Source organism: Homo sapiens, chromosome 12, assembly GCF_000001405.40.
Source record: "Homo sapiens chromosome 12, GRCh38.p14 Primary Assembly".
In the NCBI taxonomy this organism is placed as follows: domain Eukaryota; kingdom Metazoa; phylum Chordata; class Mammalia; order Primates; family Hominidae; genus Homo; species Homo sapiens.
This window is the reverse complement of record NC_000012.12, coordinates 49707006-49733081: the sequence shown is the minus strand read 5'-3', so window position 1 is coordinate 49733081 and position 26076 is coordinate 49707006. Positions and strand designations below refer to the sequence as shown.

Genomic DNA, 26076 nt, shown 5'->3' with positions numbered 1-26076 from the left:
TCAAGTGATCCACCCACCTCGGCCTGCCAAAGTGCCGGGATTACAGGCATGAGCCAACTGCCTGACCTGATCATATATCCACTTTTTTTTTTTTTTTTTTTTTTTTTGAGACAGAGTCCGTCGCCCAGGCTGGAGTGCAATGGCATGATCACTGCAACCTCCGCCTCCCGGGTTCAAGTGATTCTCCTGCCTCAGCCTCCCAAGTAGCTGGGATTACAGGTGCACGCTACCACACCTGGCTAATTTTCTGTATCTTCAGTAGAGACGAGGTTTCACCATGTTGGCCAGGCTAGTCTCGAACTCCTGACCTCAGGTGATCCACCTGCCATGGCCTCCCAAAGTGCTGGGATTACAGGTGTGAGCCACCATGCCTGTCCCCAAGATTTTTACCTTTGTACCAGTGTGGCCCTTTCAGGTGCTGCAGCTCTGTTTTCATGGCATACTTAAGGTTCAATTGACCTTTTGTCAGGCTTAAATTATGTGCCTAGGACAAGAGCTTGCTAAGAGTTCTGCCTGCACAGTTTTGAGTGACACAGGTTATTCATTTATTGAGTACCTACGACGTGCCTGCTTTAGGCATGTGTGGGTATATCAGTGAACAAAATACAAAAATCATGCCCTCATAGAGCTTAAATTCTAGAAGAGAAAAACTAAATAATAAGCATAATAAGTAAATTGTATAGTATTGTTAGAGTATAAGTGCTGTAAAATAGAGTAGGATAATTGGTATCGGAAGTTCAGAGAGATGGAGGCTGAGGTGGGTGGATCACCTGAGGTCAGGAGTTCAAGCCCACCCTGGGCAACACAGTGAAACCCTGTCTCTACGAAAAATACAAAAATTAGCCAGGTGTGGTGGCATGCACCTGTAATCTCAGCTACTCCCGAGGCTGAGGCACAAGCATCACTTGATTCCAGGAGGCGGAGGTTGCAGTGAGCCGAGATCTCGCCAGCCTGGGTGACAGAGTGAGACTCTGTCTCAAAAAAAAGAAGAAGTTCAGAGATGGACATGTAGAAATTACAGAGGTGATAGGCTTCATTGGGAAGTGAGACTTGAGCAATAACTTGGAGGAGACGAGGGAGGGATTGCACAACACGGGATCCAAGGAAAGAGTATTTCAGGCAGAGGAACAGTAAGGGCTAAAGCCTTAAGTAGAAACATGCCTGGCACAGGTGAAGAACAGTAAGAAGGCCACTGCAGTGGTATAAATTAGGGCAGAAGTACAGGAGATGCAGTCAGAGAGGTAGTGTAGCAGGGGAAGATCATGTAGGGGCTTGAAAGACTTGGGACTTTGGCTTTTTTGTTCCGAGGAAAATAGGTAACCATTGCAGGGTTTTTAGCAGAGGACTAACATAATATGACTTACCTTCTTACAGTAACACTGGCTGCTGTTTGAAAATAAATTGTGGAGATTCAAGGGTAAAAGCAGTACAGTTAGAAGGTTCACACCAAAGTGGTAGTGGTAGAGGTGGTGGGAAGTAGATTCTGGATATATTTTGAAGGTAAAACCAATATAATTTGCTGGCAGATTGGATGTGGGATGTAAGAGAATGAGGAGTCAAGGATGACACCTAGGTTTTTAGTCGTATGTATTATTTATCTACTGTTTTGTAACAGAGCACTACAAAACTCAGTGGCTTAAAACAATAATCATTTATTATGTTATCTTTGAGGCCAGGCATGGTGGCTTATGCCTGTAATCCTAGCACTTTGGGAGGCTGAGGTGGGAGGATCCTTCAAAGTCAGGAGTTCAAGACCAGCCTGGGTAAGGGTAACAAAGCGAGATGCCAGCTCTACAAAAAAGAAAACAAGAATTTGAGAGCACCTTGCAGGTAAGTCAGTCAGTCACTCTTGCTGGCTAGCACAGTTCTTTCATAAAATAGTGTGAAATTGGGTCTCCAGAATAGTGTTGACATGCTTATTTGGGGTCAAACACAAGATGAGTTCAGGTCTCTGGGCTATCGACAGTCCTCTACCAACCCTTGGTCATGAGCCATGTGTTGGGGACCTTGTGCTGGCCTTCCTTTGTCAGTGTTCTGACTGTGGAACTGCTGGTGGTCCACAGCACCTGAAGACTACAGAGTGGTAGCAGACATCTTTTATTCTGTGTATGACTGCATGCCATCTCCTTTCTGCCCCATCACTCGCACCCAGGGTAGTTACCCCACCCCGGCAGAAGATTCCATGATAGGTGTCAGGCAGTCCTCCCTGGGTAGTCCAATGATTTTGGGATTGTTGCTACACAGTGCCAAAGGGCCCTTTCCAACTGATGTCCTTTTGCTTCTGACTGATGTAGTGATGCAATGCTCCCTCAATGTTTGTCTTAAGTCATGCCAAATGAGGCATGCAGGAATGGGATCACTCCTCTTGCTGCACCCATGGGCCCTTCACACATCTTCCCTGTTGGTGATGGTGTCCAAAAGATAGGCATGTGGTCATCATTCAAAGAACTGATAGCCTAGGAATGTCGTAATTATGGTTTAAAGTGTGCAAAAGAAGATAGGGTTAGAAGAAGTGATGCTCTATGTTTATTAGATAAAATTCTGAGTGAAAATTTAACATGACCATAAAACAAATTATTGTTTACATTTTTGGGCATTCTCTGGGTAAGACTTGCATTTGTGATCATAATCAAGAAAATACAGTAATAAAATAAAACAAAATAAAATAAAAAAATTTTAAAAAGAAAATACAGTAATAATTTTTGAGAGAGTCATGGACGACATCATGAATAATGTATCATGAGTAATGTTGTAACCAAGAGTATTAAGGAACTCCAGAAACAAAAATATCTACATTGTTTCACTACAAACAGGTTGCAAAGACCTGTGGAATTATAGTAACAGGAGTTACTACCTTTTTCTCTTGGTGGGAGATATGAAATTAGCCAGGAATGGCATATTTGACAATAAAGAACATGAAGAACATGATTTTTGGACCTGAACAAGAAAAGGTGGTACCTGCACACTGTGAAGAATCATCACATGCTCTGATATGGACAATAAGCTGATATCTCTTTTCTACCCATTATTCTAAGTCTTCATTGATATATCATTTTGCTATATGTCGTCATACTTCACACAGTCTCATAAACTTTGTGATATATTTAAAAATTGAGACATAATTTACATATCATAAAATTTACCATTTTAGGCCAGGCGTATTGGCTCACACCTGTAATCCCAGCACTTCGGGAGGCCAAGGCGAGTGGATCACTTGAGGCCAGCAGTTTGAGACCAGCCTGTGCAATGTAGTGAAACCCCATTTCTACTAAAAATACAAAAATTAGCTGGGCGTGGTGGCACACACCTGTAATCACAGTTACTCAGATGGCTGAGGCACAAGAATCTCTTGAACCCAGTAGGTGGAGATTGCAATGAACCAAGATTGTGCCACTGTAACCCAGCCTGGGTGACAGAGTGAGAGTCTGTCTCAGAAAAAAAAAATTACCATTTATTTTTTAATTATTATAAATTACCGGCCCAATTTTTTTTTTTTTTTTTTTTTTGAGACGGAGTCTCGCTCTGTAGCCCAGGCTGGAGTGCAGTGGCGGGATCTCGGCTCACTGCAAGCTCCGCCTCCCGGGTTCACGCCATTCTCCTGCCTCAGCCTCCCAAGTAGCTGGGACTACAGGCGCCCGCCACTACGCCCGGCTAATTTTTTGTATTTTTAGTAGAGACGGGGTTTCACCGTTTTAGCCAGGATGGTCTCGATCTCCTGACCTCGTGATCCGCCCGCCTCGGCCTCCCAAAGTGCTGGGATTACAGGCGTGAGCCACCGCGCCCGGCCCCAATTTTTTTTTTAATTGAGAAAGGGTCTCGCTCTGTCACCCAGGCTGGAGTGCAGTGGTGCAAACATGGGTCACTGCAGCCTTGAACTCCTGGGCTCTAGCAATCCTCCTGCCACAGCCTCCCGAGTAGCTGGAACCACAGGTGTGTACAACCATGCCTTGCATTTTAAAACATTTTTTTTTGGCCAGGCACAGTGGCTCACACTTGTAATCCCAGCACTTTGGGAGGCCGAGGCGGGCGGATCATGAGGTCAGGAGATCTAGACCATCCTGGCCAACATGGCAAAACCCCATCACTACTAAAAATACAAAAATTAGCTGGGCATGGTGGAGCATGCCTGTAATCCCAGCTACTCGGGAGGCTGAGGCAGGAGAATCACTTGAACCAGGGAGTCGGAGGTTGCAATGAGTCGAGATGGTGCCACTGCACTCCAGCCTGGTGACAGAGCGAGACTCCATCTCAAAAACAAAACAAACAAACAAACAAACAACAATTTTTTTTTCTGTAGAGGCGGGATCTTGCCATGTTGGCCAGGCTGGTCTCCAACTCCTGGACTCAAGTGATCCTCCTGTTTCAGCCTCCCAATGTGAAATTCACCCTTTTAAAGTGTACATTTTAGTCATTTTTAGAATATTCCCAAGATTGTGCAATCACCACTAATTCCAGAACCTTATTTTCATTTAAAAAATAGTTTTACATTAAAATATTTGAGACAGGGAGTCGATCTGTTGCCCAGGTTAGAGTACAGTGGTACAATAATGGCTTACTGCAGCCTTGACATCCTGGGCTCAAGCAATCCTCCCACCTCAGCCTCCCAAGTAGCTGGGACTACAGGTGTGCACCACCATACCTGGCTAATTAAAAAAAATTTTTTTTAATTTTGTAGAGACAGGGTCTCACTATGTTGCCTAGGCTGGTCTTGAACTCTTGGGCTCAATCAATCCTCTCGCCTTGATGCCCCAAAATTCTCGGATTACAGGCATGAGCCACCATGCCCAGCCCTCAAAACATTTTTATTACCCTCCAAAAAAATCCCTCCATTCATTAGCAGGGTTAATTTCCTTCTCTCTTTCTCCACAACCGCAACAATTACTAATTTACTTTCTGTCTCTAGATTTGCCTATCCTGGAAATTTCATAGAATCATACAATATGTGGCTTTTGGTATCTCACTTCTTTAACTTAGCATAATATTTTAAAGTTCATCCATGTTGTAGCATGTATCAGTACTTCATTCCTTTTTATGGCTGAATCATATTCCATTGTATGATTATACTACATTTAGTTTGTCCATTCACTTTAAATGTCCAATGATGGACATTGGGTTGTTTCCACTTTTTGGCTATTATGAATAATGCTGCTATGAGCATTCATGTACAAATTTTTGTGTGGACATATGCTTTCATTTATTTTGGATATATACCTAGGAGTAGAGTTACTGGATCATATGGTAACTTTATTTTATTTTTGAGAGAGTCTCACTGTTGCCAAGGCTGAAGTGCAATGGTGCAATCTCGGCTCACTGCAACCTCTGCCTCTTGGGTTCAAGCAATTCTCCTGCCTCAGCCTCCCAAGTAGCCAGGATTACAGATGCCTGCCACCAGGCCTGGCTAATTTTTTGTAGTAGAGACGGGGTTTTGCCATGTTGGCCAGGCTGGTCTCAAACTCCCAAACTCAGGTGATCTGCCCGCTTCGCCTCCCAAAGTGCTGGGGTTACAGGTATGAGCCACCGTGCCTGGCCATATGATAACTTTAGATTTAACTTTTTGAGGAATTGCCAACCTGTTTTCCAAAGTGGCTGTACCATTTTATGTTCTCATCAGCAGTTTCTGTGGTCACTAATTTATCTACATCCTTGCCAACATTCCTTATTACCCATGGTTTTCTTTATAGCTATCTTATTAGATGCGAAGTGATATTTCACTGTGTTTTTGCTTTGCATTTCCCTAATGACTAATCATGTTGAGTATCTTATTGGCCATTGTATATCTTCTTTGGAGAAATGTCTATTCAAGACTTTTGCCCATTTTTTTTTAACTTGGGTTGTCTTTTATTGTTGAGATATTAAGAGCTCTTTATATATTCTGGATACTTATCAGATATATAGCTTGCAGATATTTTTCTCCCATTCCATGGGCTGTTTTTTTAATCCTTCTTAATGATTTTTTGAAGCAATAACTTTTTTTTTTGAGACGGAGTCTCTCTCTATTGTCCAGACTGGAGTGCAGTGGCACAATCTTGGCTCACTGCAACCTCCACCTCCCAGGTTCAAGCTATTCTCCTGCCTCAGCCTCCCGAGTAGCTGGGACTATAGATGCATGCCACCATGCCTGGCTAATTTTTTGCATTTTTAGTAGAGGCAAGGTTTCACCGTGTTAGCCAGGATGGTCTTGATCTCCTGACCTTGTGATCTGCCCACCTCAGCCTCCCAAAGTGCTGGGATTACAGGTGTGAGCCACTGCGCCCTCCCCTTTTTTTTTTCTTTTTTTTTTTTTTTGAGACGGAGTCTCGCTCTATCACCCAGACTGGAGTGCAGTGGCGCAATCTTGGCTCACTGCAACCTCTGCCTCCTGGGTTCAAGCGATTCTCCTGCCTCAGCCTCCCAAGTAGCTGGGACTACAGGCACCCCCCACCACACCTGGCTAATTTTTTTTTTTTTTTTTTTTGTATTTTTAATACATTCGGGGTTTCACCATATTGGCCAGGCTGGTCTCAAACTCCTGACCATGTGATCTGCCCATCTTGGCCTCCCAAAGTGCTGGGATTACAGGCATGAGCCACTGAGCCCGGCCAGAACATTTTTAATATTGAAGAAATCCAATTTATCCATTTTCTTTGGTTGCTTGATAAAATCTGTGTTGCTTGAGCTTTATGTGTCATATCTAAGAATGTAATACATTTTAAATCAAATCATTATATAGATGGGATCTCATTAAAAGCAAATTTGCCTGGGGTCCCACACACTGTAAGAGTGGCCCTGTTTCCATTACTGAGTTTTGTCCACTTTCAAAGGGAAGGGAATTAGACTACACCTTTTGAAGGTGGGATATCAAAGAATTTAAGAACATATTTACAGCCACTACTTGAGCACCTAGAAGGATGGAGTTGCCATCAACTGCAATTTTTATACCAATTTTTCAAATGGAAAAAATAAAAGACTTGGAAGGCTAATGCTTCCCCCAAATGGGGGAAAGCATACTTCTGAAAATTAAAACTGAGGTAGTTTTTTTTTGCCATTCTATGAGTTTTACACTGATAAACATGTTTACTAATCACTTATCACAAATTAAATAGTAGAGCAAATTTCTAAACAATGTCCTATAGATAATAAACATCTTTTGACTATGCATACAAAATGCTGTACCTCAATTGTTCCCAGTCCTGGTTACTCTCTCAGCAGTATAATTAGAAGCCACATTTGAGATGGTTTTTTAAACATGATCTTCAATGCTTTGACACAGATTTCATCGGGAAGTTGAGTCCATATCCTCTCCCCATGAATGTGGGCAATTTGTGGCTGTTTCAATGAACAGACTACAGAATAAGTGATGCTGTGTGACTTCTATGGTTGTGTCATGAAAAGCTATTCAGTTTCTGCCTAAGTCTCTTGGAACATGCTTGCTCTTGGGATACTTCCTGTTAGAACCCAGCCACCAGCTTGTGAGCCCAAGCCACTTGAAGAGGCCATCTTTAGGTGCTCGGGTCAACAATCCCAACTAAGCCCAGCTTTTGAGTCATCCTAGCCCAGATGCTACACATGTGAATGAAGGAGACTCCAGATGATTCCGGTCATTTGAGTCCTTCCAGCTGATACCCTGCTGTGCCCAGTCCAAATTCCTGTTGCATAGAATCTATGAGCCAAATAAAATTGTTGTTGTTTTATGCCACCAAGTTTGGGGTGGCATAGATATTGAAACAGTGTACCCTCTTTTTTAAAAATTTTATTTATTTTTTATTTCAATAGGTTTTGGGGGAATAGGTGGTATTTGGTTACATGAATAAGTTTTTTAGTGGTGATTTCTGAGATTTTGGTGCACCCATCACCAGAGCAGTGTACACTGTACCCACTGTATAGTCTTTTATCTCTCACCCCTGTCCCACCCTTTCCCGAGTCCACAAAGTCCAACTGTGTCATTCTTCTGCCTTTGCATCCTCAAAGCGTAGCTCCCACTTATGAGGGAGAACATAATGATGTTTGATTTTCCATTCCTGAGTTACTTCACTTAGAACAATGGTCTCCAATTCCATCCAGGTTGCTGCAAATGCAATTATTTAGTTCCTTTTTATGGCTGAGTAGTATTCCATGGTGTATATACCATATTTTCTTTTTCTACTCGTTGATCGATGGGTATTTGGTCTGGTTCCATATTTTTGCAATTGCAAATTGTGCTGCCACAAACATGTATGTGTCAGTATCTTTTTCATATAATGACTTCGTCTGGGTAGACACCTAGGAGTGGGTTTGCTGGATCAAATGATAGATCTACTTTTAGCGCTTTAAGGACTCTCCACACTGTTTTCCATAGTGGTAGTATTCGACCAACAGTATAAAAGTGTTCCCATTTTACTACATCCATGCCAGCATCCGTTATTTTTGATTTTTTGATTATGGCCATTCTTGCAGGAGTAAGGTGGTATTGCATTTCCCTGATAATTAGTGGTTTTGATTTGCATTTCCTTGATAATTAATGATGTTGAACATTTTTTGTATGTTTTTTGGTCATCTGTATATCTTCTTTTGAGAATTGTCTATTCATGTTCTTAGTGTTTTTTGTTTGTTTGTTTGTTTTTTGAGACAGAGTCTCACTCTGTCGCCCAGGCTGGAGTGCAGTGGCGCAATCTCAGCTCACTTCACTGCAACCTCCCCTATAGGGTTCAAGCGATTCTCCTCCCTCAGCCTCCTGAGTAGCTGAGATTACAGGCACATGCCACCATGCCCAGCTAATTTATTTTTGTTTTGAGATGGAGTCTTGCTCTGTTGCCCAGGCTGGAGTACAGTGGCACAATCTCTGCTCACTGCAACCTCCTTCTCCCAGGTTCAAGTAATTCTCCCTGCGTCAGCCTCCCAAGTAGCTGGGATTACAGGCGCCTGCCACCACGCCTGGCTATTTTTCTTTTTTTTAATTTTTAGTAGAGACAGGGTTTCACCATGTTGGCCAGGCTGGTCTTGAACTCCTGACTTCAGGTGATCCACCCGCCTCGGCCTCCCAAAATGCTGGGATTATAGGCGTGAGCTATTGCACCCGGCTGGTTGTTTTTTTGTTTGTTTGTTTTGTTTTGTTTTGTTTGTATTTTTAGTAGAGACAGGGTTTCACTATGTTGGCCAGGCTAGTCTCGAACTCTTGACCTCAAGTGATCCGCCCACCTCAGCCTTCCAAAGTGCTGGGATTACAGGTGTGAGCCACCGTGCCCAGCCTGAAACAGTGTTTTTTCTACAAATTAACAAGAAAAAAAACAACATAAAAGTGGGCAAAGGGTATAAATGCTCAAAAGTATAAAATTCCTAGAAGATAACATAGGAGAAAATGTAGATGGCGTTGGATTTGGTCATGCCTTTTTAGATATAACACCAAAGGTATAATCCTATGAAAGAAATAATTGATAAAGGTTGACTTCATTAAAACAAAAATTTTCTGCTTTGCAAAAGACACTGTCAAGAGAATGAAAAATTGAGCTACGGACTGGGAGAAAATATTTGCAGAAGACATAAGGGCTATTAACCAAAATAAACAAAAAACTCTTAAAACTCGACAATACGAAAACAAACAACCCTATTTTTTAAAAATGGGCCATTTTGTTCACTTGATCTGAAAGAAAAAGACAAAATAAAATAAAAAATTTAAAATGGGCCAAATACCTTAACAGACACCTTACCAAAGAAGATGTACAGATGGTGGACAAGGGCGATGGCTCACGTCTGTAATCCCAGCACTTTGGGAGGCGAGGAGGGCAGATCACGAGGTCAGGAGATTGAGACCAGCCTGACCAACATGGTGAAATCCAGTCTTTACTAAAAATACAAAAATTAGCCAGACGGGGTGGCATGTGCCTGTAATCTCAGCTACTCGGGAGGCTGAGGCAGAAGAATGGCGTGAACCCGGGAGGCAGAGCTTGCAGTGAGCCAAGATCATGCCACTGCACTCCAGCCTGGGCGACAGAGCGAGACTCCGTCTCAAAAAAAAAAAAAAAAAGAGTTGCCTAGGCTGGTCTTGAACTCCTGGCCTCAAGTGATCTCCCTGCCTGGGCCTCCTAAAGCTCTGAGTTTAAAGATGTGAGCCACTGTGTAGCACTAGAGCATTTTTCGTATACTTATTTGCCCACGACCACGCCCATGGCAACGCCCAGCTGATTTTTTGTTTTTAGTAGAGACGGGGTTTCACCATGTTAGCCAGGATGGTCTTGATCTCCTGACCTCGTGATCCACTCGCCTCGGCCTCCCAAAGTGCTGGGATTACAGGCATGAGCCACCGTGCCCTGCCAGCCTAGGCAACTCTTGTCTCTGCCAAAATAATAATAATAATTATTATTTATTTATTTATTTATTTATTGAGACGGTGTCTTGTACTGTCTCCCGGGCTGGAATGCAATGGTGCGATCTCAGCTTACTGCAACTTCCGCCTCCCAGGTTCAAGCAATTCTCCTGCCTCAGCCTCCCAAGTAGCTGGGACTACAGGCACCCGCCACCATGCCCAGCTAATTTTTCGTATTTTTAGTAGAGATGGGGTTTCACCATGTTGGCCAGGCTGGTCTCAAACTCCTGACCTTGTGATCCGTCCACCTCAGCCTCCCAAAGTGCTGGGATTACAGGCATGAGCCACCGTGCCCGGCTTTATCATGGTGAAACCATGTCTCTACTAAAAATACAAAAAATTAGCTGGGCGTGGTGGCGGGTGCCTATAGTCCCAGCTACTTGGGAGGCTGAGGCAGGAGAATCGCTTGAACCCAGGAGGCGGAGGTTGCAGTGAGCCGAGAATGCACCACTGCACTCCAGCCTGGCGACACAGCGAGACTCCGTCTCAAAAAAAAATTAATTTATAAAAAAGGTATTCCACATTATATCTCATCAGGGATATACTAATTAAAAGTACAATTAAATACTACTGTGCACCTCTTAGAATGGCCCAAATTCAGAACATTCACAACACCAAATGCTGGTAAACATGTGGAGCAATGGAAACTCTCATCCATTGCTGGTGGGAATGCAAAATAGTACAGATACTTTGGAAGAGAGTTCCGCAATTTCTTAGAAAACTAAGTATACCACAGCCATAAAAAAGAACAAAATCATGTCCTTTGCAGCAACATAGATGCAAGTGGAGGCCATTATCCTAAGTGAACTAACACAGGAACAGAAAACCAAATACTGCATATTCTCATAAGTGTGAACTAAATATTGGGTACTCGTGGACATAAAGATGGCAACAATAGACACTGGGGACTACTAGAGGGGGTGGGAGGGAAGGGGCAAGGGTTGAAAACTATTGGGTACTGATATGGTTGGTGGGAGGGAAGGGGCAAGGGTTGAAAAACTATTGGGGTACTGATATGGTCCCACCCAAATCTCATCTTGAATTGTAATTCCCACAATTCCCATGTGGAAGGAACCTGGTGGGAGGTAGTTGAGTCATGGGGGCAGGTCTTTCCTGTGCTGTTCTCCTGATAGTGAATAAGTATCATTGGATCTGATGGTATTATAAGGGGGAGTTTCCGTGCACAAGCTGTCTCTTTGCCTGCTGCCATCCATGTAAGATGTGACTTGTTCCTCCTTACCTTCCGCCATGATTGTGAGGCTTCCCCAGCCACGTGGAACTGTAAGTCCATTAAACCTCTTTCATGAATTGCCCAGTCTTGGATATGTCTTTATCAGCAGTGTGAAAACAGACTAATACAGGTACTATGCTCACTACCTGGGTGATGGGATCAATTGTAACCCAAACCTTAGCATCATGCAATATACTCATGTAACAAACCTGCACATGTACCCTCTGAATCTAAAATAAAAGTTAAAATTATTGTAAAAAAGAAAATTAAACGTCCTCTTACTGTACAATCCAGCAATCATGCTCCTTGGTATTTATCCAAAGGAGTTGAAAACTTATGTCCATATAAACATCTGCACATGGATGTTTCCAGGAGCTTTATTCATAATTACCAAAACTTGGAAGCAACCAAGATGTCCTTCAGTAGATGAATGGATAAATTGTGGTACACTCAGACAATGAAATACTATTCAGTGCCATAAAGAAATGAGCCATCAAGCCATGAAAAGGCACAGGAGTCATTTAAATGCATATGTCAACCTAAATAACAAACAGGAGAGGCTTCCCAAAAGAAAATGATATTTATTTGGGAATAGAGCATTGCAATGAGAATACATGTGCCATAGTAACCTATATGCATATTCAGGAAGGTAAAGGAAGACAAAGGTTTTCAAAGGAAAAAATGAGGATTACATAATTATTTTGAAATAATTATCCTTGGCTACAAAGATCAATAACAAGGCCGACACCAGTCTGAGGTTGGACAAGCAATTGCTGGGCAGATGTCTTTGCAGCAGTATTTTTTTTGTGAAAGGTTGTGGTGGCCTTTGTGCAAAACTGTGGCTTTTGTAGAATCTTTTTTGTTATCAGTTATACATGCGTGAGAACCCTCTCTTTAAGGTCTTCCTCAGCTCTATTTCTAAGGGTTTTCTTCACAGTGTTTTCTGGTTATGAGATGCTAGATGGTGTTCAAGATGTTTTAAATGTATTAACTCATTTAATCTTTGCAATCACCCTGGGAAGTAGGAACAATGACTACATTACAGATGACGAAAAGGCTCATTCAGTTTGTCCAAGGTCACAGAGCTTGAATTTGAGCTCTGGTGACTGTTCTGGAGCCCATGCTCTTAATCATTATGCTATGCTGCCTCTTGTGGCACAATTGGCATGTATTGGTAAGCATAACTTTGCAAAGTTTTGTGGTTTTTAACAAATAAATAAAACCTTTAAAGGAAAATGGCAGTTGGACTTGACTTTAAAGGCTGTGGGGGGAGTAAGAAGGTAGAGGGGAGGAAGGTAGGAAAATAGCCACAGATCTGCTTTCCCAAAGTTAGGAGGTGGTGTGGCAGAGTGAGAGATAAAAAGCAGATTAAATCCCTCAGCCCAGGGCAAGGATGGAGAGGAGAACCAGTGGAAGCAATTTGGGAATGACCTCGAGGTCCTCGTCTAAATTTTTTTTTTTTTTGTTTTTGTTTTTTGAGACGGAGTCTCGCTCTGTCGCCCAGGCTGGAGTGCAGTGGCATGATCTCGGCTCAGAGCAACCTCCGTCTCCCGGGTTAAAGCAATTCTCCTGCCTCAGCCTCCCAAGTAGCTGGGACTACAGGCGTGCACCACCATGCCTGGCTAATTTTTTTTTTTTTTTAGTAGAGACAGGGTTTCACCATGTTGGCTAGGCTGCTCTTGAACTCCTGACTTCAGGTGATCTGCCCACCTCAGCCTCCCAAAGTGCTGGGATTATAGGCATGACCCACTGTGCTTGGCCTCTTCCTTTCTTTCTTTCCCTTCTTTTTCTTTCTCTCTCTCTCTTTCCTTCCTTCCCTCCCTCCCCTTTCTTTTTCTTTCTTTCTCTTTCTTTCTCTCTCTTTCTCTCACTCCTTCTTTCCCTCCCTTCTTTCTCTCTCTCCTTTCTTTCTCTTTCTTTCTCTCTCTCTTTCTCACTCCTTCCTTCCCTCCCTTCTTTCTCTCTCTCTTCTTTCTCTTTCTCTCTTTCTCTCTCCTTCCTTCCCTCCCTCCCTTCTTTCTCTCTCTCTCTCTCTCTCTCGCTCTGCCACCAGGCTGGAGTGCAGTGGCACAATCATGGCTCACTGCAGACCTGACCTCCTGGGCTCAAGCGATCCTCCCATGTCAGCCTCCTGAGTACCTGGGACTACAGGTGCATGCCACTGTACCTGGCTAATTTCTTTTGTAGAGAAAGGGTCTTGCTATGTTGCCCAGGCTGTTCTTGAACTTCTGGACTCAAGTGATCCTCCAGCCTTGGCCCCGCAAAGTGTTGGGATTACATGTGTGAACCATTGCCCCCTGCCAATATCTCCCACCTTTCCTTGTCTACTTTTATAACCCTCCTTCTGATCCCTCCTTTTCATTTCAAATGCACTGATCTTGTTCTGGCCAATGGTTATGAGAAAAAGCAGCTAACAGAAATGAAACACACTGAAATCCAAACCATCTCTCTCTCTCACACACACACACACACACACGCACATCTTTTTTGAGACAGAATCTCACTCTGTTGCCCAGGCTAGAGTGCCGTAGTGTGATGACAGCTCACTGCAGGCTTGACCTCCCAAGCTCAAGTGATCCTCCTACCTCACCCTCCCAAGTAGCTGGGACTATAGATATGTTCTACTGGTTAATTTGTTATACTTTTTGTAGAGACCAAGTATTGCCATGTTGCCCAGGATGGTCTCAAACTCTTGGGCTCAAGCAATCTGCCCGCCTCAGCCTCCCATCCTCCCAGAGTGCTGGGATTACAGACGTGAGCCACTGTGCCTGGCCCTATATTTTTAAAATTTATTTTATTTTCTTCTTCTTCTTCTTCTTTTTTTTTTTTGAGACAGAGTCTCGCTCTGTCGCCCAGGCTGGAGTGCAGTGGCTCAGTCTCGGCTCACTGCAAGCTCCGCCTCCCAGGTTCACACCATTGTCTTGCCTCAGCCTCCCAAGTAGCTGGGACTACAGGAGCCCACTACCACGCTTGGCTAATTTTTTGTATTTTTATTAGAGACAGGGTTTCACCGTGTTAGCCAGGATGGTCTCGATCTCCTGACCTCGTGATCCGCCCACCTCGGTCTCCCAAAGTGCTGGGATTACAGGCGTGAGCCACCACACCCGGCCTTTATTTTATTCTTAATTTTTGAAAAATCGCTATCATTTTTTGAGACTGGGTCTCACTTTGTTGCCCAGGCTAGAGTGAAGTGGTGCAATCATGGCTCCCTGCAGTCTTGAACTTCTGGTCTCAAGTGATTCTCCCACTTCAGCCTCCCAAGTAGCTGGGACTACAGGTGTGTGCCATGGACCCGGCTAACTTTATTTTTAATTTTTTTGTAGAGATGGGATCCCACTGTTGCCCAGGCTGGTCCTCAACTCCTGGACTTAAGCAACTCAAGCAACTCAAGCAATTCTCCAGCCTTGGCCTCCCAAAGTGTCAAGATTATAGGCATGAGCCACTATGCCTGGCCGTTGTTTTTTTTTTTTTTAACTTATTTTTAATTGAGCTGTTTGTTTTTCCTTTTCTTTTTCTTTTCTTTTTTTTGCAGAGGCTGCTTAACACCTGTTGCTATTGAGTTGGGTGTTTGTTTTCTTTTTCTTTTTTTTTTGAGATGGAGTCTCACTCTGTCACCTAGGTTGGAGTGCATTGGTGCAATCTCGGCTCACTGCAACCTCCACTTCCCAGGTTCAAGTGATTCTCCTGCCTCAGTCTCCTGAGTAGTTGGGATTACAGGCACGCACCACCACTCCCAGCTAATTTTTGAATTTTTTAGTAGAGACGGGGTTTCATCATGTTGGCCAGGCTAGTCTCGAACTCCTGACCTCAAGTGATTCACCTGCCTTAGCCTCCCAAAGTGGTGGGATTACAGGCGTAAGCCATTGCGCCCAGCCAGGTGTTGAGAGTTCATTATATACTCTGGATACAAATCCTTTGTCAGATAGGTGATTTGCAATATTTCCTCCCAGTCCTAGCTTGTGATTTGTTTTTAGTTCTCCTAACAGTAGTTTTCAAAGAGCATTAATTTTTAATTCTGATAGAGTATAATATATCAATTGCTCTTTTATGGATTGTGCTTCTGGAATCATAGCTAAGACATTTTGCCTAAACCAAGTTGCAGAAAAGATCAAATCGTAGCCTGAAGGAGCTGACTAAGGGCAAGAATCAGAGACTAAGCCAGCCACAGGGGCAGGTACTGGGCAAGGGGTGTAGGTGTAAAGGAAGAGACTCAGTTGTGGATGATAAGACAATTGGGTGGATTTTCAGACAAGCAATGTGATGGATGATTGATTAGCATTCAGCATCCATTTTCATCTCCTTTTAGCATACTTTCCTGAAGAGGCTAAAAAGCTAAGGATTATATGTCTCAGAATTCCTTACATCCAATCACATGTACTTGGGTGAGATTTCGAATGCAGAAGTGAGGCTGGGCTCATACCTGTAATTCTAGTACATTGGGAGGCTGAGGCAGGATGGTTGCTTGAGCCCAGGAGTTTGAAACCAGCCTGAGCAATACAGTGGGACCCTGTATCTACAAACCTTTTTTTTTTTTTTTTTTAATTAGCCAGAGTGGTGGTACATGTCTGTAGTCCCAGCTTCTTAGGAGGCTGAGATGGGAGGATCCCTTGAGCCCAGGAGTTCGAAGCTGTAGTAAGCTGTGATTGTGCCACTGCACTCCAGCCTGGATGACAGAGTGAGTGAGACTCTGTCTCAAAAAATATATATAGTAGAATGCAGAAGTGAGAAAAAGGCCAATCACCCTGCTACTTTGACTATTTCTCCTGGCCAAGCAAGGTTGTAGAGATGTGTCATGTTTCTATAGCAGTGATACTGTGAGGTCTCTAGCTTTGCAAATATTGAGAGGTGGCTGCATCAGAGTGTAGCAGTGGCAATGTCCTGATACAGCTGCCAGCTCGCTGGATCATAGCTGCAGCCACTTACTCTTAAACCCAGTTAGTGGAGACTTTCAGGTGCTTCACCCTCCCTGACTGTGGTAGAGGTAACAGCTTCCCTGTTGGAGCACTCTTACCTTGTTCTGGTGGTTATTCTTGGAGTTTCAACCCAGAGCTAGTTCCTCTAGACTTTATTTTATTTTATTTTATTTTTTTTGAGACTGTGTCTTGCTCTGTCACCAGGCTGGAGTGCAGTGGCGCGATCTCGGCTCACTGAAACCTCCGCCTCTCGGCTTCAAGCGGTTCTCCTGCCTCAGCCTCCCAAGTAGCTAGGACTACAGGTGTGCATCACCACACCCAGCTAATTTTTGTATTTTTAGTAGAGACAGGGTTTCATCATGTTGGTCAGGACGGTCTCCATCTCTTGACCTCGTGATCCACTTGCTTCGGCATCCCAAAAGTGCTGGGATTACAGGCGTGAGCCACCACACCCGGCCATTCCTCTAGACTTTCTGAAGGATTTCGTAAGCACTTAACTCTTTGTATCCCTAAGATAGTTGCAGGGGTTTCTGTTTTCTGCACCGAATCCCCTCCAACTATCCTGAGTGATACAGGCAGTCAGGATGTATCTGGGAGGAATGATAAAGAATCCAACATGTTCAGCTGGGCACAGTAGCTCATTCCTATAATCCCAGCACTTTGGGAGGCCAAGGCGGGCGGTTCACTTGAGGCCAGGAGTTTCAGACCAGCCTGGCCAACATCGCGAAACCCCATCTCTACTAAAAACAAATACAAAAATTAGCCAGGCATGGTGGCGCGTGCCTGTAATTCCAGCTACTCAGGAGGCTGAGGCATGAGAATCGCTTGAACCCCGGAAGTGGAGGTTGCAGTGAGCCGAGATCATGCCACTGCACTACAGCCTGCACCACAGAGTGACTCTGTCTCAAAAAAGCAAACAAACAAAAACAAAACAAAACAAAAAACATCTTCTATCATGTGGGAAAAATGGGACTGTGGAAAGGCATTCATTTGTTCAACAAGCATGTAACAGACATGGAGTGGGTCTATAGCTAGACATCAGGAATACCTACCTTCCCTGAAGGAGTTTACATTACCTGATGATTTCATGGTATGATGATAGAGATGTTAGAATACTATGTGCTCACAGAGATGTTCTCAATCAGACTTGGTAGAGATGTCATCAAAGAGGTAATCTCTAAGCTTGGTTTTAACAGATGAGTAGGAATTGGCCAGCAAAGAAGGGGAAGAGCATTCTATCTGCAACAGGGAAAACTATTTCATTACTATTTTTCGAGACAGGATCTCACGCTGTCCCCCACGCTGGAGTGCAGTAGTGCAGTCATGGCTCACTGCAGCCTAGACCTCCCAGGCTCAAGTGATCCTCCCACCTCAGCCTCTCAAGTAGCTGGGACCACAGGCGCATGCCACCACGCCCAGCTCATTTTTGTTATTTTTTTGTAGAGACGGGATTTCACCATGTTGCCCACGGTGGTCTCAAACTCCTATGCTCAAGTCATCCTTCCTCCTCAGCCTCCCAAAGTGCTGAGATTACAGGTGTGAGCCACCGCCTGTAATAATTTGCCAGGGCAAATTATTAAGTAAAACTCTTAAATATCTGTGTTGACACTTCTCCCACACCTTCCTAGGAAAGAGATGGGGTGAGGAGATGTGTGTTTCTAAAGACTAGGCGCTAGACTAGGAGGTAGGGAGAATGTAGAAGCTTCTTCGATGGGTAGGACAGGGGTGGAAGCTGGAGTTTGAAAGTGCTGTCAGTAAGGAGGGGGAAGCAGTTGACCTAAGAGCTTCCCTAGAGGATAAAGGTAGGGCATCCTTAAGCTGGCCTAAACTCTTCAGTCTTCTTTACTTCCTCACTTCTCATTAGAGAATCAGATGGCATGGAATTCTGAAACAAGGCCTGGGTTCAGAGCCAGGGATACCACTTACTCATTAGGTGGTCTTGTTCATACGACTTCACTTTTTAAAATCTGCCTTCTCATCTATAAGACAAGGATAATGATAATATCTCCCTCGTATAGTGTTGTAAAGATCTAAGTAGGTAATGGATGTGAAAAAATATTGAAAATTGTAAAACACTATAATAATACCAGTCACTATTTTTTTAAAATTATACTTTAAGTTCTGGGGTACGTGTGCAGAATGTGCAGGTTTGTCACACAAGTGCACGTGCCATGGTGGTTGGCTGCATCCATCAACTTGTCATCTACATTAGGTATTTCTCCTAAGGCTATCCCTCCCCTAGCCCCCCACCCACCAACAGGCCCCGGTGTGTGATGTTCCCCTCCCTGTGTCCAGGTGTTCTCATTGTTCAACTCCCACTTATGAGTGAGAACATGTGGTGTTTGGTTTTCTGTTCTTGTACTAGTTTGCTGAGAATGATGGTTTCCAGCTTCATCCATGTCCCTGCAAAGGACATGAACTCATCTTTTTTATGGCTGTATAGTATTCCATGGTGTATATGTGCCACATTTTCCTTATACAGTTTATCATTGATGGGCATTTGGGTTGGTTCCAAGTCTTTGCTATTGCAAATGATCAGTGTGCACACAATAAACATACATGTGCATGTGTCTTTATAGTAGACACTCTGTTGCACAGGCTGGAATGCAATGGCGCAATCGCAGCTCACTGCAACCTTCCCCTCTTGGGTTCAAGCGAGTCTCCTGCCACAGCCTGTTGCGCAGGCTGGAGTGCAATGGTGCAATCCCAGCTCACTGCAACCTTCCCCTCTTGGGTTCAAGCGAGTCTTTTGCCACAGCCTCCCAAGTAGCTGGGATTACAGGTGTGCGCCACCATACCTGGCTAATTTTTTTATTTTTAGTAAAGACGGAGTTTCAGCATGTTGGCCAGTCTGGTCTTGAACTCCTGGCCTCAAGCAATCTGCCTGCCTCGGCCTCTCAAAGTGCTGGGATTACAGGCGTGAGCCACCGTACCCAGCCCCACCAGTCAGTATTATTATGTAATAAGCAATGAAGTCTGGTTGATTGTATCTCAGGTATATCTCCTTCGCCAAATTTACTTCTGTTCATCCCCCTGCTCTGATTTGGTTCAGGCTTCTATCTTCCCTATGTCGTTTCTGTAGACCCTCTATATTTTCAAATGCTCCTAAAGGAATTTTTCCATAGAGCTTACTTAAAAATTGTCTAGGACATGCTACTATCTACATAATAAAGGACAAACTCAACCGGGCATGGTGGCTTGTGCCTATAATCCCAACACTTTGGGAGGCTGAGGCAGGAAGATCATCTGAGCCCAGGAGCTTGAGACCAGCTTGGGCAACATGGCAAAACCCCATCTCTACAAAAAAATACAAAAATTAGCTGGGCATGATGGCACACACCTGTAGCCACAGGTACTAGGAAAGCTGAGATGAGAGGATCACTTGAGCTAGGAGGTTGAGGTTGCAGTGAGCAGAGATCGCACCACTGCACTCCAGCCTGGGTGACAGAGTAAGACCCTGTCTCAAAAAAAAAAAAAAAAAAAAAAAAGGGACAAACTTCTTAGCTTAGCACAAGGCTCTTTTTGAACTTGATTTGACCTGTCTTTCTAGATTTATCTCCTCTCTTCCTGCTATACACCCTACTCTTCAGCCTCACTGAATTTCTTACTATTGCTCAAACAATCCATTTTCACCTGTATTGTTCCCCCTTCTGGAATGCCTTTTCTCCTTCCTGATCATCCTTCCATCACCTTCTAATCACACTGTTCTCTCTTTTCCATTTGGCACATCTATTCGCCCTTAAGCGCTGGCTCCAGTGTCATCCACTCCCCAGTTCTCTCAATAGCACTTGGCATGACCCTCTATGACAACACTTACCATACTGTTTTGTAAACATTAGTTTGAGAGGCTTTTAGATTCCTACTAGCCCTATTGTGAGCACAGGGAAGAAAGACACCTATTCATATCTGGATCTTCCTTAGTACCTGAAATAAAAGAGGACTGGATATATATACTTTTAAATAAACAAATAAGCTCCACAGACCAGACAAGACATAGACAAAAAATTAAACAGCTTTGGGAGGCCTATGCAGGTGGATCACCGAAGGTCAGGAGTTGGAGATCAGCCTGGCCAACATGGTGAAATCCAGTCTCTACTAAAAATACAAAAATTAGCTGGATGTGGTGGTGCACACCTGTAATCCCAGCTACTCGGGAGGCTGAGGATGGAGAATCACTTGAACCCAGAGGTGGAGGTTGCAGTGAGCCAAGATTGCACCACTGTACTCCAGCCTGGGCAACAGAGTGAGACTCTGTCAAAAAAAAAAAAAAATTAAACAGCACAAGGCAGTAAAGGAACCAAGAGTTACATATCTACAAGTTCCAAATGAAAAGTAGAGAAAACAAGAGTCATGATCATTTGAATTTGAGAAAACTCCAGGATGGGATATGAAACTTGGTACCCACCAATATAATACCAATGATCTTACACGGTTCCTTCAAACTGGGTCCACACTCCTCCGCTCTACCTTGCCTCTCCTGCACCAGACTTGGAGCTCTTTTGAAGTTGGCAGCAGGTCTCTTGTTCACCTTTTCATCTTGCATTCTTTCTTTATCTACCGGCATCTAGTCAGATGTTTTGCACATAAGCACCCAATAAACCTAAAGATTGTATTAAGCCTGGGTGGGATTTGGATAGATGGAGTAGAAGGAAGAAGAAATCCAGATCAGGGACGCAGCAGGAATGTGTTAGTTTCCTGTTGGTTCTCTAACAAATTATCACAAACGGTGGCTAAGAACAACACAGATTTATGATTTTATAGTTCTAGAGATCAGAAGTCTGAAATTAGGTCTAACAGAGCTCAAATTAAAGTGTTGACAGGGCCATGTTCCTTATAGAGGATTGAGGGGAGAATCTGTTTCCTTGACTTTTTTCAGTTTCTAGAAGCTACTGCATTCCTTGGCTCATGGCTCCACCTCACCCTGACTCCTGCTTCTGTCATCACATCTCCCTCCCTCATTTTGGCCTTTCCTCTTATAAGGACCGTTGTCATCACATTGAGATCACCTGGAGAGTCTTCTCATCTCTAGATCTGTAACTTAATCACATCTGCAAAGTCCCTTTTGCCATGTAAGATAACATATACACGGGTTCTGGGGATTAGGACATGGATACTTTGGGAGCCATTATTCTGTCTACCACAAAGAGCAAAGCCAGACATAAGAATGAGCAACTAATGTTTGGAGATGGACCTTTCCAGCTGAAGCAAAGGGTTGATTTGATTAGAAGACATTAGCGTTTAGAGATAGACCCTCGAATATCAGAATAAGGAGTTTTAGTTTTATCCTACAGAAAGTAAGCATTTAAAGGTGGGTGAGCAGGCAGTTAACAATGAAAGAAGTAATCTAGCAGATCCCCAAAGACCCTAGAGTATATAAATCTGGTGGTTATGCTTGAGGCAAGCAAAAACAGAATTAAAAGGTTAGGGACTAAGAAACCACACAAAAGGTGAATACACTGCTGTTCACTGTCCTATCGAGTTTCTTCTTTTTGCTAGATGTTCCTTGTGCATCCATGATAAATGGTGAATTATTTCCCTTCTTGAATTCTCAACTTTTGTCTAGTGGAAGTCTACAGTCTTGTTATAACCCCTCTGCTTAGAAGAGTCTGCCACAGCAGTTGGGAAGGCACGTATTTAGGGTAAGAAGTGGAGATGAAGAAAGGGGATAAGATGTGAACTGATTAATTTGTTCACTGATTAGAAGAGGCTGAGCTTCACAGGAAAGGGTTTCAATGGTTTGGAAAGACAGGGACTCTACCTCTTGGTTGTAAACAACAGGAACCCAATGCATAGTGAGTTAGAAAAAGAATTTACTAGCTTTTGGCTAGGCGCGGTGGCTCACGACTGTAATCCCAGCACTTTGGGAGGCTGAGGCGGGCAGATCACGAGGTCAGGAGATCGAGACCATCCTGGCTAACACAGTGAAACCCCATCTCTACTCAAAATACAAAAAAATTAGCCAGGCGTGGTAGCAGGCGCCTGTAGTCCCAGCTACTCAGGAAGCTGAGGCAGGAGAATGGCGTGAACCTGGGAGGCGGAGCTTGCAGTGAGCTGAGATCACACCACTGTACTCCAGCCTGGGCGACAGAGTGAGACTTCGTCTCAAAAAAAATAAATAAATAAAATAAAAAAATAAAATAAAAAAGAAAAAGAATTTACTAGCTTTAATAGCATCTATATGACGATGATTTCCAAATTTACATTGCCAAATTGCATAAATTAATAAGTAGAGCTGCTGCTTGTCGCAGGCATGATGGCTTCAAGGTTACTTTGCACAGCTGGAACGCTGGCCATGAAGGCTTTGAGGGCTTGCAGTCCCAGCGGGGTGCAATCGCAATAAGACATATATGAGTCTGAAGAGCAAACTCATTTATATCCAATTGCTTAGTGGATATCTTTACTTGGATGTCCAAAGGGCAAATCAAACTCAACATGGCCCAAACTTGTTCCTGACCTTCCCTTTCCAGTTCCCCCTCACCAAACCTACTCCTCCTATCACTTCCCCCATTTCAATTAGTGAAAACTCCACCATCTTTGTTGCTCAAGTCAAATACTTTGCAGTTATCTTTCATTCACCCTCCACATTCAAACTATCAGGAAATTCCATCAGCTTTACTTTCAAGTCTTTAATAAGGAATCTGACCATTTCTTTCCACCGGTACAGTTACCACCCTGGTTCAAACCATCTCTCACCCAAATGATTGCACTAGCCTGCTAACTAGTCTCCCTGTCCATACTTCTATTGGTTTGTTTTCAATGCAAGAGCCAGAGTGATCCCTGTTACAAAACATGTTAGATCATACCACTCCTCTACTCAAAATCCTCCAATGGCTACCTATCCTACTTAGAGAAAACCGAAGTCCTCACACAATAGCCTACAATATCCTACACAATATATGGCTTCTGGTTACCTTTCTGACTTCATCTTTCACTACCCTTTTCCTTGCTCATTGCACTCCAGCTACACTGGCATCTTTGCTGTTCTTCTAATACATCAGAGATAGTATGCACTTGCCATTCCCTTTGTCTGGATAATTCTTCCCTAGATAGCCACATAGCTTATTTCCTTGCATCCTTCAGATCTTTATCCAAATGCTATCTTATTAGTGAGTCCTTCCTTGATCATCCTATTTAAAATATTTATTATGAGGGAGGGGAAGAAGGAGCCAATGCAATGACTAGTCTTTATTGGAGAGAAGATACTTTACAGCACATTTTGAGCAATTAGTGCCAGGGCTCACTGGGCCAACTTGTGGGACATCAGCTTGTAATGGGTTCATAGTTAGAGCATCACTGGGTCTCGCCTTTGTGCAGCCAGAACCAGTTGACAGCACTGTTGTCCTCTTCACCGATGCAGCTCACTATTATCTTGGTGATGGAGGGAGCTGTTAGGGTCTTCCCTGGTGCCTGAAGCTGCCTTTGGGGGTAATATATTGTATGGGTCCAATCTCATACATGGCTGTCATGAACTCCCTCTCCAGCCCAGTCATCTGCTTGTCATCAGTAGGAACGCCACCTCCAGATGCCATGAAGCACACTGCAACCACCCCATTGGGACTGTAAGCCCTCAGGCCTATGCGGCTAGCGCTCCAGCTCTGAAAATTAACCTTGAAGCCATCATGCCTGTGACAAGCAACAGCTGTGTTTATTTATTTATTGAGACAGAGCCTCACCCTGTCACCCAGGCTAGAGTGGAGTGCCATGAACATGGCTCACTACAGCCTCAACCTCCTAGTTTCAATTGATCCTCCTGCCTCAGCCTCCCAAGTAAGCAACTCTATTTAAAATCTTAATGCCTCTTCCATCTCTATCACCTTTCAGTTTTATTTTTATTAACACTGATCACTAACATCTATACATTTTACTCGTCTAGTTTATTGTCTACCTTTCCTTCTACACAGATTGTGAATTCCAAGAGGACACAATGTATATCCTGTTTGTTCGCAGATGTACCTTCAATGCCCAGAATAGTATCTGGCATAGAATAAACTTTCTAAAATAAATATTTGTTGAATAAATGAATTAAAAATCTAGGTGATAACTTCAGGCATGGTTAGATCCAGGTTCTTGGCATGTCATTAGAATTTTGTCCTGTCTCATAGCTTTTCTCTCCTCTGCGCTGGCTTCATTCTCAAGCAGGCTTGATGTGTTACAGGTGATGATAAGACGGCCACCAGCGGCTGCAGGTTTACATTCTAATAATTTTGCAGCCTAAATGGAGAGAGAGTGAGTGCCTCTTTCCTGATTGTTTCAGAGAAAGCCTTGGATATATCATATTGTCTGGGCTTGGGTCAAGTGACAATCCCTAAAACAGTGTCCATGGGTAGAGGAGGAAAATGTTGTGACTGACTGGGCCTGGGTCATGCGGTCCTTTGGAACTGGGGATAAAATTCAGCTCCATTTAGACTGAGAAGAGGGGAGAGGTGGTTTCCTAAAAGAAAAGGGGGTGCTCTCACTGGAAGAAGATGGCGGCTAGACAACAAATTTCCACCGCAAATGTCAACGACCCAGCCGCCGACTGAGCCCAGAACAGCGTTCTTCTCCCGCCTCTCCATTTTCACACGCAGCCAGATGGTTAAGCTTCTCTCCTCCCAAACGTTTTTTCCCCTGCCTCTGTCGGGTAAGGGCTTCCTCATCCCTCAATGCCTGGTCCAACTATGATCTCCCTCACCCCGACTCTTAACAGGTACTATCTCTCTCCCTCTTCTGAGTATCCTGCTTGTTTCTACTTCTCTTGTAGTTAGTTTTGTACGCCATGCCTTGTATAATATTTTACTTACTTGTATACATCATGAGTTCCTTTTGAAAAAGGGTACGGTCCATTCCCGGTGTGTCCACGCCAGCCCCTCACGCCCTCTGGGAACCGCGGTGATTCGATGCCGGCTGAGGCCGCCAGGGAGCGCTCGGCGCCCGGCACGAGGCCGTCAAGGGCGGGAGGCGCTGTGATTGGCAGACGCGGCCGTCAATCGGGCGCAGGTGGGGCGGGCCGGGCCGCCTGTGAGGCCTCTGGGCGGGAGGCGGGGCCTGCATGAATGGGGCGCGCGTCGCGCGGGCTGCAGTCGGCGCTCGCGGGGGAAGCCCGAGTCTCGGCCGGGTGTGGGTGGGAGGAAGCGAGGTTGGCGGGGGAAGGGAAAGAGCGCGGGGGGCGGGGAGGGGCAGCGCCCGGGCGGCGCGCCGAGCGCGGCGAGGCGGCGGGTGTGAGCAAGAGCCGGCCGCCTCCGTCCGCCTTGCTTCGGTGCGGCTGTCCGCTACGCTGCCTCCGCCCTCGCCGCGCGCCCCCGCCAGCGGGACTCCAGGGAACCCCCGGCGCCCTCGACGGGGCCGAGGAGTCGGGACTCGGGGAGCCGGCGCTGAGGGAGGAGCCTGGTCGGAGCCGCGGAGCCGAAAGCTCCGGAGCGTGGAGGTGGGGGGCCGAGGCCCCTGAGGGGGCCCCGCCGCGATGGGCAACCTGGAGAGCGCCGAGGGGGTCCCGGGAGAGCCCCCCTCTGTCCCGTTGTTGCTGCCGCCCGGCAAGATGCCGATGCCTGAGCCCTGTGAGCTGGAGGAAAGGTTCGCCCTGGTGCTGGTGAGAGCTGAGCCCAGCCCCTTCCCCCGCGTACCGCCCCTCAGGTCCC

The 26076-nt window shown here is 44.7% G+C and overlaps 1 protein-coding gene, 1 long non-coding RNA gene and 1 pseudogene across 8 annotated transcripts in view, besides 3 other annotated features; 1 reads left to right on the top strand and 2 right to left on the bottom strand.

Moving 5' to 3' along the window:
* Positions 1 to 1632: 1632 nt before the first annotated feature.
* LOC124902929 (uncharacterized) lies at positions 1633 to 25356 on the bottom strand. 2 transcript variants are annotated; one of them, XR_007063299.1, is made up of 3 exons: positions 25243 to 25356; positions 17539 to 17701; positions 1633 to 1791 (listed from the first exon to the last, which is right to left on the bottom strand). It is a non-coding gene; the product is annotated as an uncharacterized LOC124902929 (long non-coding RNA). The 2 variants fall into 2 exon arrangements; XR_007063300.1 differs by lacking the exon at positions 1633 to 1791 and adding an exon at positions 1833 to 2456.
* Positions 7469 to 7669: a silencer, noted in NCBI's record as "peak1727 fragment used in MPRA reporter construct". NCBI's record gives its function as "represses an SCP1 promoter by STARR-seq MPRAs in K562 erythroleukemia cells {active_cell/tissue: K562}" and the evidence as "EXISTENCE:reporter gene assay evidence [ECO:0000049][PMID:32103011]".
* COX5BP5 (cytochrome c oxidase subunit 5B pseudogene 5) lies at positions 23618 to 24080 on the bottom strand (annotated as a pseudogene).
* Positions 25094 to 25243: an enhancer, noted in NCBI's record as "active region_6329". NCBI's record gives its function as "activates an Ori minimal core promoter by ATAC-STARR-seq in GM12878 lymphoblastoid cells {active_cell/tissue: GM12878}" and the evidence as "EXISTENCE:reporter gene assay evidence [ECO:0000049][PMID:35858748]".
* Positions 25264 to 26033: a silencer, noted in NCBI's record as "silent region_4442". NCBI's record gives its function as "represses an Ori minimal core promoter by ATAC-STARR-seq in GM12878 lymphoblastoid cells {active_cell/tissue: GM12878}" and the evidence as "EXISTENCE:reporter gene assay evidence [ECO:0000049][PMID:35858748]".
* The window catches only part of FMNL3 (formin like 3), a 70907-nt gene continuing 70507 nt past the window's right edge, over positions 25677 to 26076 (top strand). For all 6 annotated transcript variants that reach the window (NM_198900.3, NM_175736.5, NM_001367835.1 and 3 more), the window contains exon 1: positions 25677 to 26027. In NM_198900.3, the coding sequence (NP_944489.2) occupies positions 25902 to 26027 (126 nt within the window). In that variant the 5' untranslated portion in view covers positions 25677 to 25901. The remainder of the gene's footprint in view (positions 26028 to 26076) is intronic.